General features: G+C 37.0%; 1 long non-coding RNA gene across 47 annotated transcripts in view; it reads left to right on the top strand.

Moving 5' to 3' along the window:
* The window catches only part of NR2F1-AS1 (NR2F1 regulatory antisense RNA 1), a 176234-nt gene that overhangs the window by 86156 nt on the left and 73667 nt on the right, over nt 1–16411 (top strand). For 4 of the 47 annotated variants that reach the window (NR_186222.1, NR_186187.1, NR_186201.1 and 1 more), the window contains one exon: nt 3331–3377. The exons of the other annotated variants lie outside the window; for them this stretch is intronic. This is a non-coding gene — a long non-coding RNA (NR2F1 regulatory antisense RNA 1). The remainder of the gene's footprint in view (nt 1–3330; nt 3378–16411) is intronic. 47 annotated transcript variants of the gene reach the window in all.

Here is a 16411-nt window from a genome sequence, read left to right as displayed (position 1 = left end):
GGAAATATTGTGAGAATTACCAAATTGTGACCCAGAGACACAAAGTGAGCATATGCTGTTGGAAAAATAGTGCTGATAGACTTGATCGATGCAGGGTTGCCACAAATCTTCAGTTTGTAAAAGCAGTATCTGTAAAGCTCAGTAAAGTGAAGCACAGTAAAGTGAGATATGCCTGTACTTCTGTCACCCATGTGTCACCGTTTTCTGTAGTTAATTGGCTGAAGGAACACACACACATTCACATATTTGAAACAATTTTAAAGGATGTATCTTATAATTAAAATTATGACATTTCTTACCAAATCTTTTCCCTTTCTTTCACATGAAAAGATTACTGATTTTCTGTAATAGTTATTTTACAGTATTATTCAGTTATTCTGAATAGAATAGCATATTCTCATCCTTTTTTCTCCTCTCTGCCTTGCTTTTCCTTTTTATTTTTTCTCTAAATCAAAATAAATTTATGTAGAGGAACCTAGGTCAACTGATCTTAGTGCTTCTTTCATAAGGGTAATACATATAATTACAAGGCTTTTAGACAACATTATGGTGAATATAAATTCTTTTTAATAAAATAGAAAAAATTAAGTACAATTTGTGGATGCTGGTGCAGATTCGTAGATCAGGGTAGTTTCTCAGCCTCTGAAGAGCCTTTATCCAGTTACATTTATTCCTATTTGATTTTGTGTTTCTTTTACTTGTGTTCTCTTCTAACTTGTGTCTTCCCTGTTGCTTTCTTTTATGTGCCTCCTCTATTTGCAGTATAGATGTTTCATTGAAACTGCATCTAGTATTGGGATGCCATAGAGGAACCTTTGTATTTTATAAATTTCAACTAGATTTTTTTCTTTGTGCTGTTCTGCGAGTTTGAATATAGAAGCAATATTGATATGAAGTAAATAGCTTGGAAGTGTATAAGTCATAGTTTAGCTTTCAGAAAAATTCTTCTTTGAGGATGACACATTTACTTGCAACTTTGAGCCAGAAGTAAGAATTTTGTAAAAGTATGAGAAAAATTGGCCACTTTTAAGTTTCCTTAGGTAAAACTGATAGTAATTTTATTCCTATTTGTTTTTGCTAGCTTTATCATATAAAATGTTTTAGCTAGAGGAAAAAACAAGGCAAGAAAGACTATTAAATCTTTCTTTAGACTAAGTGGTTCCAAGGAAAGTTAATTTTCAGAACCTCCCAAAATATATTATTATTATTATTATCTTTTGGTTGTAAGACTTATTCTGTTTTAAAATTTATTTATTTATTTATTATTTCTTTTGTAGGGACTGAGTCTCACTGTGTTGCCCAGGCTGGTCTCAAATTCCTGGCCTCAAGTAACCCTCTTTCCTTGGCCTCCTAAAGTGCTGGGATTACAGGCATGAGCCACTGTGCCTGGCCATAAGACTTATTCTCTAAGAAACTTTGAGGCATAATACTTCTTCATTTATTTTATAAAAGAGCATGGAGAAAACCCAGTGCCAAAACGGTATATGTGCTATTTAAAGCTGTGCATTGATTGGCAAACTTGAAAATGAGATGTTTTATAATTGACCCTTGATTCCGATGATGAATTCATGCAGTTCTAGGCATTTATGGACATGTTTAATGAAAACATGAGGAATGCATGAAAGCTAATGAGAATCTTAACTTTGACTTCTGATATTTCAGGCTATGGCATTTGCCATCGTTTTTCTTCATATATTTATTATGTCATCTGTGTCAAAGTTACATCAACCTGGGTTTATGCATATTTATTACATTAAGTATACTTTGAGGATAGTATATAAACTTAAATATGAATTTATAGGTAGCAACAATAAAATATACATCAACTAATAAGAAAAAACAGGGTTCAACGAGATAATTCCAGGTCCTGTAGTTGTCACTGTTCCATGATGAGTTGAAATTAAGACAGAAAGCTCAATTTTCCATCTAATTGAATTTACCAAAGTAGGACCTTTCATCCACATGTTGAAAACCGGAGCATGTCTTTTCTCACAACCTGTAAACCAGCTAATGGAAAGATTGACAGCTGGGTGAAGAGAACACAACCTTATATTTGGTTTCAGCCAGCCAGAGTTTTAATCACAGCTGTGGTGATGAGGGGAGTGGGAAGATTTGCCTTTCACACAGCAACTTAAACAAACACAGCGTAATATCTCCATTGCTCTCCAAGTCATTTCCTGCTTCCGCATTCTTCATGCACGTCCTTCACATTGCATTTATGGAAACTCAATCAGAAAGCTAGCTTTTGGGTTATTTTGTTTCTATCATAGTCTATGGGAATGACAAGATAAAGTTACTACTAATCACTGAAGCATATGGAGGAATTAACTGAAAAAAAAAAGGCCTTTACTGAATGTATTACAAAAATTTGAGAAAGGGTTATATTTTAGAAGTCCACTCATTTGGACAGTGTTTGAGTCTTTGGGTTTCTTCTCATTCAGCTTTCTCTGCATGCAGGCTGCCTTATTGAAAGTCGGAACCATTGAATGCAGATGTTTTCTGTATTCACAGTAAAAAGGAGGCTAAAGCAAACACTTAGAAAGTGACCTGTGTAGCTGCATGGATTCTTTCTTTTGCTGGCAAAGATGTGACCGTCTCTTTATTATACATCCAAGAATGCTGACTCCTATAAAAGGATTAGATTCAGGAGAAAAGTTGTTATGCTTTGAGATACCAAATATGAATATCAATTAACAAGAGCAACAAGAGAAAAAATAATCACAAAAATTGTGGTATGTAAATTAAGAATGGCTGGGAGCAGTTACTTTATATGGCAAAGCCAGGAAGACATTGGAAACACCTGTATTTCTTTGTTTTCAACTCATGAACAAATAGATGTAGAAAACATGTTTATTTGTTTAACAGTGAAAATAGTTTTCATAATGTATAAATTAAAAAGGATGCCTATTTCATAATATCCAAGGTAAGAAGACATGGTAGAGGGAGAAGGAAATTATGACAGAAGTCCCTGAATAGAAGCAATTCTGACAAAAAGAGGGTGTGTCCTTCTACAAGGGCCAAGCTATGCCGTGTCTCACATGCTGATTTTTTGAATAGACTTCTTGCCAATATATATTTTCCCTGGACTCTAGAGTTTATAGGATGTGGTTCACTAATATTGACAACACAGCAGTTTCTTTCCCTCACAGACAAGCCTGCTTGAGCAAAGCAAGACGTAAGCAGCTAGAATACTTTGCTAATTATTTACATACAGACAAAGGTAGATGAAATGTGGGTTTTTTGTTTATTTTATATTACTATCTGATCTATGAATGAATAAAGGAATTGAAAGTTTCTTATACATTTCACTTTGATTTTATTTACTTGTAGGACCTCTAACAATGATATTGGAAGAATAGATACTAAGTCTTGGAGAGGTAATTCATTTTTTCCTTCTAATATTACATCATAGTGGTATTGAGTTTTCTCTTTATGTTCAAATCATAGGTATGTATGGTAATAATACCATCTATCTTCCATAACAGTTTTGAGAATATACATTCTACTTAGTTTGTAGTATCCACAAAACATTTTTTTCCTGCTTTTAAAGTTATAGCATAAATTCAGAAAATTTGACGAGAGCATTTCTAAAATAAGCGATAACTAGTGATGTTAGTGGACATCTAATTTTAAGAGGAAATAATTTCCTCTTCATCATATTTGTGTATATGATATACAAATCATCATATTTGTGTATATGATATACAAATCATGTTTGTATATATAAATAGTACCTTATTAAAATTTTATAAAGTACATGTATTTATGTTAAAGATTCAAAACTTTGAGGTCCAATTTTTTTTTCCAAATAGAGTAAAACAGTAGGTATTATCTTCAGATTCTTAACTTATCTCCATTACACGGTCAAGGCTAAAACCTGGTCATTTGTCTTTTGATGAAAAATCTGTAAACATTTAGGTTTCATTATGGAAACTGCACACTTTTATGGCTTGCAGCTTAATTAGAATTTTGGAGAGGTTCTCTCTCTATTTGCATTTTCCCTTTGTGCTTGGTCTTATTTTCTCAGTAAAAGAATTGTAATTTAATGCTAGATTTGGACATACAATTCTACTTTCTTTTTCTTAATGAGAAAAGACAAAAATCAAGCATCAGACAAGAGACTAAAATAAAACAGAATAAAGTATGGAAAAGAACAACCACATGTATGTAAACCCAAGAGACTAAAATAAAACAGAATAAAGTACGGAAAAGAACAGCCACATGTATGTAAACCCTATGGAGATTTTAGCTTAAATCCATGTAAGTATAATGTCATTATTTGCAAAATGCATGATGTTTGAAAGAATCAAAGAAAACCACACCAAATTGTATAAGTAGTTATTTATATAATAAATGCTGATTCTATCTTGGATTTTTTTTGTCATGTAGAAGGAATTTTTCTTGTTTGTTATCTGCTAATCTGCTGTCTATTGCTATGGATTTGCTTATTCTGGATATATCATATAAATGGAACCATACAATATGTGACCTGTTGTTCTACTTTCTTTCACTTGGCATATTTTTGACACACTTACACACACACACCCCAATACCACAATTTGTTTATCTGATTATCCACTGATGGGCATTTGAGCTGTTTTCACTTTTTTGCTGTTATGAATAATACTGCTATAAACATTCATGTGCAAGTTTTTGTGTGGACATCTTTTCATTTCTCTTAGTCAGATGGTAATTCTGTGTTTAACTTTTTGAGGAACAGCCAAACTGTTTTCCACAGCAGCTGCACCATTTTACGTGCCTACCAGGAAGTTACCAGGGTTCTTATTTCTATACATCGTTGCCAACTTTTTCTTCTTTTGAGATGGAGTCTTGCTCTGGTGCCCAGGCTGGAGTGCAGTGGCGTGATTTTGGCTCACTGCAACCTTCACCTCCTGGGTTCAAGTGATTCTTGAGCCTTGGATTACAGGCACACACCACCATTCCTGGTTAATTTTTATATTTTTAGTAGATACAGTTTCCCATGTTGACCAGGCTGGTGGTCTTGAACTGCTGGGCTCAAGTGATCATCCCAAAGTGCCCTCCCAATAGTGCTCAGATTACAGGCGTGAGCCACTATGGCTGGCTCTTGCCAACATTTTTTATTTTTTTGATTAAAGGTATCCTAATGGGTGTGAAATGGCATCTCATTCTGCATTTTCCTTAATGACCAGTGATGTTGAACATCTTTTCATGTGCTTACTAGAGATCTATATATCTCTTTTGGAGAAATGCCTATTCAGCTCCTTTGCCCATTTAAAAATTTGGATTGCTTATCTGTTTGTTGTTGAGTTGTAATGGTTCTTTATGTATTCTGCATATTAATCCTTTATCAGGTATAATTTAAGGGATATTAATTTCTTATCAGATATAATTGCAAAATTTTTTTCCCATTCTGTAATATCCTTTGATACACAAATATTTTAATTTTTATGAAGTCCAACATATCTGTTTTTACTTTTATTGCTCATTCTTTTGTGAAAGTTTAGGAATCCATTACCAAATCTAAAGTCATGAAGATTTAAGTGTATGGTTTCTTTAATAGTCCTATAATTGTAGCTTTCATATTTAGGTAATTGATCCATTTGGAGGTTTTTTTTTCTTTTAATAAGGAGTGAGGTAGGAGTCCAACTTTATTGTTTGTGGTTATACATTTGTTCCTGCATCATTTGTTGAAGAGACTCTTCTTTCTCTGTTGAATGGCCTTGGCACCCTTGTCAAAAATCAATTGACCATAGATGTTTGGGTTTATTTCTGGACTCTCAGTTTTATTCTGTTGTTCTATATATCTATTATTATGCCAATACCATACTGCTTGGGTTATTTTAGCTATGTAGTAAGTTTTGAAATTGGGAATTTTGAGTCTTCCAACCATATGTTACTTTTGAAATATTGTTTTGGCTATTTGGGGTTCTGTACAGTTCCATATGAATTTGAGGAACTGTAGATTGATTTGGGTAATATTGTTATCTGAACAATATTAAGTCTTACAATTCATGAACATGGGAAATAGTTTCACTTATTTAGGTCTTTTAAAGTTTCTTTCAGCGATGTTTTATTGTGTATTACACAATAAAAGACATACAGTGTATGTCTTTCACTTCCTTGGTTAAATGTATTCCTGGGTATTTTATTCTTTTGGGTGCTATTGTAAATGGAATTGTTTTTAATTTCCTTTTCAGTTTGTTCATTGCTGCTGTATAAAACACAACTGATTTTTGTGTGTTGATCTTATACCCTGCAAGTTTGCTGAATTTGCTTATTAGCACTAGTAGGTTTTTTGTGGATTGATTCTATGGAATTTTGTCATCTGCAAATAGAAGTAGTTTTATTTATTTGTACTTCTAAAGGTGTCATAAATTTGGATGCCTTTTATTTCTTTTTCTGGAATCATTCCTTTGATTAGAACTTCCAGTACAGTGTCAAATAGCAGTGGTCAAAGCAGGCATCATGTTTTCTTCCTGATCTTAGGGGAAAGCTTTCATTCTTTCACCATTGAGCATAATGTTAGCTATGGGTTTTTCATAAGTGCCCTTTATCGTATTAAAGAAATTCTTTTCTCTCCTAGTTTGTGAGTGTTTTTTTTTTTTATCATGAAATGATATAGAATTTTGTCAAATACTCCTTCTGCATGTATTGAGATAATCATGTAATATGTTACTCCATCCCCTTAATGTGGTGCATTATATTAATTGATTTTCATATGTTCAACCACACTTGCATTCATGAGTTACACTTCATTTGGTCGTGGTGTATGTGTTTTTAAAATATGCTGTTGGATTTGGTTTGCCAGTATTTTGTTGCAGAATTTTACATCTGTGTTAATAAGGGATATTGAGTTATAGTTTTCTTTTGAGGTCTTTGACTTTAGTATCAGAGTAATGCTGATCTCACAAAATGTGTTAGGAAGTGTTCCCTCTCCTGCTTTATTGGAAAAGTTTGAGAAGGAATGGTGTTAATTCTTATTTTAGTGTTTGGTAGAATTTAGTGTTTGGTAGAATTAATTCTTATTTAAGTGTTTGGTGTATTTATTTACTGAACTTCTTGATGAAAACTGTGAGTCTATCTAATTAGCTCAAAAAACAAACAGTGAAGCCATGTAGCACAGACTTTTCTTTGTTGGGAGGTTTTTGAATACTGAGTCTGTCTGTTAAGGTTTTTTCTTTAGATCTGTTAAGATTTTTTACTTCTTAAATCAGTTTTGATAATTTATGTGTTTCTAGGAATTTGTCCATACATCTAGATTACCTAATTTGTTGGTGTAAATAGTTCCAAGTATTCTCTTATAATTCTTTTAGTTTCTGTAAAGGTCAATACTAATATCTCTGCTTTCTTGTCAGATTTTAGTTATTTTCATCTTTCTTTTTTTATAATCAGTGGGGCTAAAAGTTTGTTGGTTTAGTTGATGTATTAGTCAGGGTTCTCCAGAGAAACAGAACCAATAGGATATATATAGATGGATAAGAGGAGATTTATTATGGGAATTGGCTTATGTGATTATGGAAGCCAAGAGGTCCTATAATATACTGTCTGCATGCTGGATAACGAAGAAAGCCCGTGGTACAATTCAGTCAAGAGTCTGAAGGCCTGAGAACCAGGGAGCTGATGGTGTAACTCCAAGTCTGAGGCCAAGGGCCTGAGAACTGGGGAGGCTACCAGTATAAGTCATGGAGTTTGAAGGCCCAAGAACCAGGAGCCTTGATGTCCAAGGGTAGGAGAAGATGAATGTCCTAGCTTGAGAAGAGAGAGAACATTTGCTCTCCCACCTTTTTCTTCAATTTGCGTCTTTAGTAGATTGGAAGATACCTGCCCATATTGATTAGGGCAGATCTTCTTTCCTTTGTTAACTGATTAAAATGCTAATCTCTTCTGGACACACTCTCACAGACACACCCAGAATAATGTTTTTCTAGCTATCTGAGAATCCCTTAGCCCAGTAAAGGTGACACAAAAAAATTAATCATTACAGTTCATTTAAAAAAAAATTTTGGTTTCCAGAACTTCATTCTGTTATCACTTTAGCTAGGACCACGGCCATCACCACCACCACCAGCACCACCACCCCCCCACCATCACCACTACCACCATAACCACAACCTTCATCAATACCACCATTACCAGGACAACTACCACCACCAACACTACCACTCTTATCACCACCATGACCACCACCACCACCACGACCACCACTACCACCATAACTACAACCTCCATCAATACCACCATTACCGGGAACAACCACCACCACTGCCACCACCACCACTACCATAACCACAACCACCATAAACACCACCATTACCGGGACTACCACCACCACCACTCTCATCACCAGCATGACTACAACCACCATCAACACCACTATTACCAGGAACGACCACCACCGCCACCACCACCACCACAGCTATCACTACCACCACCACCACTCCCATCACCACCATGACTATAACCACCGTCAACACCATTACCAGGAACAACCACCACCACCACCACCACTCCCACCACCACCATCACCACCACTCCCATCACCACCACCACTACCACAACCACAATGACTATCAACACCACCATTACCAAGTCAACCACCACCACTGCACCACCACCACCACCACTACCATAACCACAACCACCATAAATACCACCATTACCAGGACTACCACCACCACTCTCATCACCAGCATGACTACAACCACCATCAATGCCACCATTACCAGGAACAACCACCACCACCATTGCTATCACTACCACCAGCACCACTCCCATCACCACCATGACTACAACCACCATCAACACCATTACCAGGAACAACCACCACCACCACCACCACCACTGCCACCGCCACCACCACCATCACCACCACCACCACCACTCCCATCACCACCATGACCACCACCACCACTGCCACCATAACCACAATGACCATCAACACCACCATTACCAAGACCACCACCACTGCCACCGCCACTACCCCTATCACCACTACCACCACCACCACTCCCATCATCACCATGACCACCACCACCACCACCGTCATTACCACCTCCCTTTCTTCTCATCCATATGGATTTCTGGCTTGTTTCTAAAAGTTTTTGTGACAGTTTACACATAGTAGATAGCCCAAATATTTATTTACTGAACTTCTTAATGAAAACTATGAGTCTGTCTAATTAGGGAAAGCTCAAAAAACAAGAGAAGGAGAAATGGGGTATTTGACATTTAAAGGGCAATAACTTATTTATACATGTACAGTTTACATTGTCTAGTTTTCTGTAACTAACAAGCTAGAATCATCTTTATAACATTCTATTCATTTATTTAACAAGCAAGAATCATGTTTATAACAATAATTGCACCAAGTAACACATATGCTCAATCTGGATCTGAAGGGAGTGGTGGAAGGGCCAGTTCTGGAAATCCAATTTTCTCCATTTCACAGGTCCTCATCCAGAAGTCACATGGATTGACTGAGAGTCACCCATCCTCTTTCATTTTCCTTTTTCAGAAGAGTGCAGATTATATTTGCAGGAACATAAAATCACGAGCAACTGGGAAGATCTAGACCAAACATCTGACTATCCCATCATTTTAAGAATTGTATATTAATTAATACAAATTGGAATGCAAGATGTGATCTCTTACCGCGGTTAAACTGCCCTTAGAGAACTTCAACACAAGCCCCAAACATGTACTTGAGACAGGATTTGGTCTTTATCAGAACTCACACTAGCAAACAAATGGCTTTTTTGAGCAAAGGCATAGTGCTTTTTAGAGGTTTCTTTTAATTTTATTAAATTAGGCTGTCTCACTTCTATTGTGGCTTTGTGTTTCTCAGAAACTTTTCTCTAGTCAGCTCTTCAAATACAGGCATACCTCAGAAATACTGCAGATTTGGTACCGAACCACCGTAATAAAGGAAGTCACTTACATTTTTAGATTTCCCAGTACATATAAAAGTTATGTTTTCATTATACTGTAGTCTATTTTGTGCAATAGCATTATGCCTAAAAATATATATATATATATACCTTAATTAAAAATACCTTCCTCCTAAAAAATGCTAATGATCATCTGAGACTTTAGCAAGTTGTAGTCTTTTTGCCGGTGGAGGGTCTTTCCTAGATGTTGATGGCTGCTGACTGATCAGGGTGGTGGTTGCTGAAGGTTTAGGGTGGCTGTGGTAATTTCTTTTTTTTTTTTTAAATTATACTCAAGTTCTGTGATACATGTGCAGAACATGCAGGTTTGTTACATACACTTGCCATGGTGGTTTGCTGCACCCTTTAACCCGTCATCTACATTAGGTATTTCTCCTAATGCTATCCCTTCCATAGTCCTCCACCCTCCAACAGGCCCCACTGTGTGATGTTCCCCCACTGTGTCCATGTGTTCTCATTGTTCAACTCCCACTTATGAGTGAGAATATGTGGTGTTTGGTTTTCTGTTCCTGTGTTAGTTTGCTGAGAATGATGGTTTCCAGCATCATCCATGTCACTGCAAAGGACATGAACTCATCCTTTTTTATGGCTGCATAGTATTCCATGGTGTATATGTGCCACATTTTCTTTATCCAGTCTATCATTGATGGACATTTGGGTTGGTTCTAAGTCTTTGCTATTGTGAACAATGCTGCAATAAACATATGTGTGCATGTGTCTTTATATTAGAATGATTTAAAATACTTTGGGTATATACCCAGTAATGGGATTGCTGGGTCAAATGATATTTCTGGTTTTAGATCCTTGAGGAACTGCCACACTGTCCTCCACAATGGTTGAACTAATTCACACTCCCACCAGCAGTGTAAAAGCTTTCCTATTTCTCCACATTCTCTCCAGCATCTGTTGTCTCCTGACATGTTAATGATTGCCATTCTAACTGGCGTGAGATGGTTGGTATCTCATTGTAGTTTTGATTTGCATTTCTCTAATGACCAGTGATGATGAGCTTTTCTTCACATGTTTGTTGGCTGCATATAAATGTCTTCTTTTAAGAAGTGTCTGTTCATAAGTCTTTGCCCACTTTTTGATGGGGTTGCTTGTTTTTTTCTTGTAAATTTGTTTAAGTTCCTTGTAGATTCTGGATATTAGCCCTTCATCAGATGGATAGATTGCAAAAATTTTCTCCCATTCTGTAGGTTGCCTGTTTACTCTGATGATAGTTTCTTTTGCTATGCAGAAGCTCTTTAGTTTAATTAGATTCCATTTGTCAAATTTGGCTTTTGTTGCCATTACTTTTGATTTTAGTCATGAAATCTTTTCCCATGCCTATGTCCTGAATGATATTGCATAGGTTTTCTTCTAGGGTTTTTATGGTTTTAGGTCTTACATTTAAGTCTTTAATCCATGTTGAGTTAATTTTTGTGTAAGGTGTAAGGAAGGGGTCCAGTTTCAGTTTTCTGCATGTGGCTAGCCAGTTTTCCCAATACCATTTATTAAATAGGGAATCCTTTCCACATTGCTTGTTTTTGTCAACCTTGTCAAAGATCAGATGGTTGTAGATGTGTGGTCTTATTTCTGAGGCCTCTGTTCTGTTCCATTGGTCTATATATGTTTTGGTACCAGTACCATGCTGTTTTGAATACTGTAGCCTTGTAGTATAGTTTGAAGTCAGGGAGCATGATGCTTCCAGCTTTTTTCTTTGTGCTTAGGATTGTGTTGGCTATACAGGCTCTTTTTTGGTTCCATATCAAGTTTAAAGTAGTTTTTTCCAATTCTGTGAAGAAAGTCAATGGTAGCTTGATGGAGATAGCATTGAATCTATAAATTACTTTGGGCATTGTGGCCATTTTCATGATATTGATTCTTCCTATCCATGAGCATGGAATGTTTTTCCATTTGTTTCTGTCCTCTCTTATTTCCTTGAGCAGTGGTTTGTAGTTCTCCTTGAAGAGGTCCTTTACATCCCTTGTCAGTTGTATTCCTAGGTATTTTATTCTCTTAGTAGCAATTGTGAATGGGAGTTCACTCATGATTTGGCTGTTTGTCTATTATTGGTGTATAGGAATGCTTGTGATTTTTGCACATTGATTTTGTATCCTGAGACTTTGCTGAAGTTGCTTATCAGCTTGAGGAGATTCTGGGCTGAGACAATGGGGTTTTCTAAATATACAATCATGTCATCTGCAAACAGAGACAATTTGATTTTCTCTCTTCCTGTTTGAATACCCTTTATTTCTTTCTCTTTCTTGATTGCTGCGGCCAGAACTTCCAATACTATGTTGAATAGGAGTGGTGAGAGAGGGTATCCTTATCTTGTGCCGATTTTCCAAGGGAATGCTTCCAGCTTTTGCCCATTCAGTATGATATTGGCTGTGGGTTTGTCATAAATAGCTCTTATTATTTTGAGATACGTCCCATCAGTACCTAGTTTATTGAGACTTTTTAGCGTGAAGGGGTGTTGAATTTTATCAAAGGCCTTTTCAGCATCTGTTGAGATAATCATAAGGTTTTTGCCATTGGTTCTGTGTATGTGATGGATTACATTTATTGATTTGCATATGTTGAACCAGCCTTGCATCCCAGGGATGAAGCCAACTTATTGTGGTGGATAAGCTTTTTGATGTGCTGCTAGATTCGGTTTGCCATTATTTTATTGAGGATTTTCACATTGATGTTCATCAGGGATATTGGCCTGAAATTTTCTTTTTTGTATTGTGTCTCTGCCAGGTTTTGGTATCAGGATGATGCTGGCATCATAAAATGAGTTAGGGAGGAGTCCCTCTTTTTCTATTGTTTGGAATACTTTCAGAAGGAATAGTACCAGTCCCTCTTTGTACCTCTGGTAGAATTCAGCTGTGAATCTGTTTGGTCCTGGGCTTTTGTTTTGGTTGGTAGGCTATTAATTATTGCTGCAATTTCAGAACTTGTTATTGGTTTCTTCAGGGATTCGACATCTTCCTGGTTTAGTCTTGGGAGGGTGTATGTGTCGAGGAATTTATCCATTTCTTCTAGATTTTCTAGTTTATTTGCGTAGAGGTGTTTATAGTATTCTCTGATGGTAGTTTGTATTTCTGTGGGATCAGTGGTGATATCACCTTTATCATTTTTTATTGTGTATATTTGATCTTCTCTCTTTTCTTCTGTATTAGTCTGGCTAGCAGTCTGTTTTGTTGATATTTAAAAAAAAACAGCTCCTGGATTCACTGACTTTTTTAAAAAAATTAATTAATTTATTATTATTATACTTTAAGTTTTAGGGTACATGTGCACAATGTGCAGGTTAGTTACATATGTATACATGTGCCATGCTGGTGCGCTGCACCCACTAACTCGTCATCTAGCATTAGGTATATCTCCCAGTGCTATCCCTCCCCCCTCCCCCCACCCCACAACAGTCCCCAGAGTGTGATGTTCCCCTTCCTGTGTCCATGTGTTCTCATTGTTCAATTCCCACCTATGAGTGAGAATATGCGGTGTTTGGTTTTTTGTTCTTGCGATAGTTTACTGAGAATGATGATTTCCAATTTCATCCATGTCCCTACAAAGGACATGAACTCATCATTTTTTATGGCTGCATAGTATTCCATGGTGTATATGTGCCACATTTTCTTAATCCAGTCTATCATTGTTGGACATTTGGGTTGGTTCCAAGTCTTTGCTATTGTGAATAATGCCGCAATAAACATACGTGTGCATGTGTCTTTATAGCAGCATGATTTGTAGTCCTTTGGGTATATACCCAGTAATGGGATGGCTGGGTCAAATGGTATTTCTAGTTCTAGATCCCTGAGGAATCACCACATTGACTTCCACAATGTTTGAACTAGTTTACAGTCAATTCATTGACTTTTTGAAGGGTTTTTCATGTGTCTGTCTCCTTCAGTTCTGCTCTGATCTTAGTTATTTCTTTTCTTCTGCTAGCTTTTGAATGTGTTTGCTCTTGCTTCTCTAGTTCTTTTAATTGTGTTGTTAAGGTGTCGATTTTAGATCTTTCCTGCTTTCTCCTCAGGGCGTTAGTGCTATAAATTTCCCTCTAAACACTGCTTCAACTGTGTCCCAGAGATTCTGGTATGTTGTGTCTTTGTTCTCATTGGTTTCAAAGAACTTAATTATTTCTGCCTTAATTTTGTTATTTACCGAATAGTCATTCAGCAGCAGGTTGTTCAGTTTTCATGTAGTTGTGTGGTTTTGAGTGAGTTTCTTAATCCTGAGTTCTAATTTGATTGCACTGTGGTCTGGAAGACTGTTATGATTTCTACTTTTTTGCATTTGCTGTGGAATGTTTTACTTCCAATTATGTGGTCAATTTTAGAATAAGTGCAATGTGGTGCTGAGATGAATGTATATTCTGTTGATTTGGGGTGGAGAGTTCTGTAGGTGTCTATTAGGTCTGCTTGGTCCAGAGCTGGGTTCAAGTCTTGAATATCCTTGTTAATTTTCTGTCTCGTTGATCTGTCTAATATTGACAGTGGGGTGTTAAAGTCTCCCAGTATTATTGTGTGGGATTCTAAGTCTCTTTGTAGGTATCTAAGAACTTGCTTTACAAATCTAGGTACTCCTGTATTGGGTGCATATATATTTAGGATAGTTAACTCTTCTTGTTGCATTGATTCCTTCACCAATATGCAATGCCCTTTCTTTGTCTCTTTTGATCTTTGTTGGTTTAAAGTCTGTTTTATCAGAGACTAGGATTGCAACCCCTGCATTTTTTTTTTTTTTTTTTGCTTTCCATTTGCTTGGTAAATATTCCTGCATCCCTTTATTTTGAGCCTATGTGTGTCTTTGCCCATGAGATGTGTCTCCTGAATACAGCACATTGATGGGTCTTGACTCTTTATCCAATTTGCCAGTCTGTGTCTTTTAAGAGGGGAATTTAGTCTGCTTACATATAAGGTTAATATTGTTCTGTGTGAATTTGACCCTGTCGTTATGATGCTAGGTGGTTATTTTGCTCGTTAGTTGATGCAGTTTCTTCATAGTGTCAATGGTCTTTACCATTTGGTAAGTTTTTATATTGGCTGGTACCAGTTTTTCCTTTCCATGTTTAGTGCTTCCTTCAGGAGCTCTTGTAAGGCAGGCCTGGTGGTGACAAAATCTCTCAGCATTTGCTTGTCTGTAAAGGATTTTATTTCTCCTTTGCTTATGAAGCTTAGTTTGGCTGGATATGAAATTATGGCTGGAAAATTCTTTTCTTTAAGAATGTTGAATATTGGCCCCCACTCTCTTCTGGCTTGTAGGGTTTCTGCAGAGAGATCCGCTGTTAGTCTGATGGGCTTCCCTTTGTGGGTAACCCGATCTTTCTCTCTGGTTGCCCTTAACATTGTTTCCTTCATTTCAACCTTGGTGAATCTGACAATTATGTGTCTTGGGGTTGCTCTTCTCGAGGAGTATCTTTGTGATGTTCTGTGTATTTCCTGAATTTGAATGTTGGCCTGTCTTGCTAGGTTGGGGAAGTTCTCATGGATAATATCCTGAAGCATGTTTTCCAACTTGGTTCCATTCTCCTCATCACTTGCAGGTACACCAATCAAACATAGGTTTGGTCTTTTCACATAGTCCCATATTTCTTGGAGGTTTTGTTCATTTCTTTTTATTCTTTTTTCTCTAATCATGTCTTCACAGTTTATTTCATTGAGTTGATCTTCAATCTCTGATATCCTTTCTTCTGCTTAATCAACTTGGCTATTGATAATTGTGTAAGCTTCACGAAGTTCTTATGCTGTGTTTTTGAGCTCCATCAGGTCATTTATGTTCTTCTCTAAACTGGTTATTCTAGTTAGCAATTCGTCTAACCTTTTTTCAAGGTTCTTAGCTTCCTTGCATTGGGTTAGAGCAGGCTCCTTTAGCTCAGAGGAGTTTGTTATTACCCTCCTTCTGAAGTCTACTTCTGTCAGTTCTTCAGACTCATCCTCAGTCCAGTTTTGTTCCCTTGCTGGTGAGGAGTAGTGATCCTTTGGAGGAGAAGAGGCGTTCTGGTTTTTGGAATTTTCAGCTTTTTTGTGCTGTTTTTTCCTTATCTTCATGAATTTATCTGCTGTTGGTCTTTGATGTTGGTGACCTTCGGATGGGGTTTCTGTGTGGACATCCTTTTTGTTGATGTTGATGCTATTCCTTTCTGTTTGTTAGTTTTCCTTCTAATAGTTAGGCCCCTCTGCTGCAGGTCTGCTGGAGTTTGTTGGAGGTCTGCTTCAGACCCTGTTTGCCTGGATCACCAGCAGAGGCTTCAGAACAGCAAAGATTGCTGCCTTTTCCTTCCTCTGGAAGCTTTGTCCCAGAGGGGCTTCCACCATATCCCAGCCAGAGCGCTCCTGTATGAGGTGTCTGTCGACCCTTGCTGGGAGATATCTCCCAGTCAGGAGGCATGGGGGTCAGGGACCAACTTGAGGAGGCAGTCTGTCCCTTAGCAGAGATCGAGCGCTGTGCTAGGAGAGCTGTTGCTCTCTTCAGAGCCAGCAGGCAGGAACGTTTAAGTCTGCTGA

Source organism: Homo sapiens, chromosome 5, assembly GCF_000001405.40.
Source record: "Homo sapiens chromosome 5, GRCh38.p14 Primary Assembly".
NCBI classification, from domain to species: domain Eukaryota; kingdom Metazoa; phylum Chordata; class Mammalia; order Primates; family Hominidae; genus Homo; species Homo sapiens.
The sequence above is the reverse complement of the archived record's forward strand: the minus strand, read 5'-3'. Positions and strand labels throughout refer to the sequence as shown.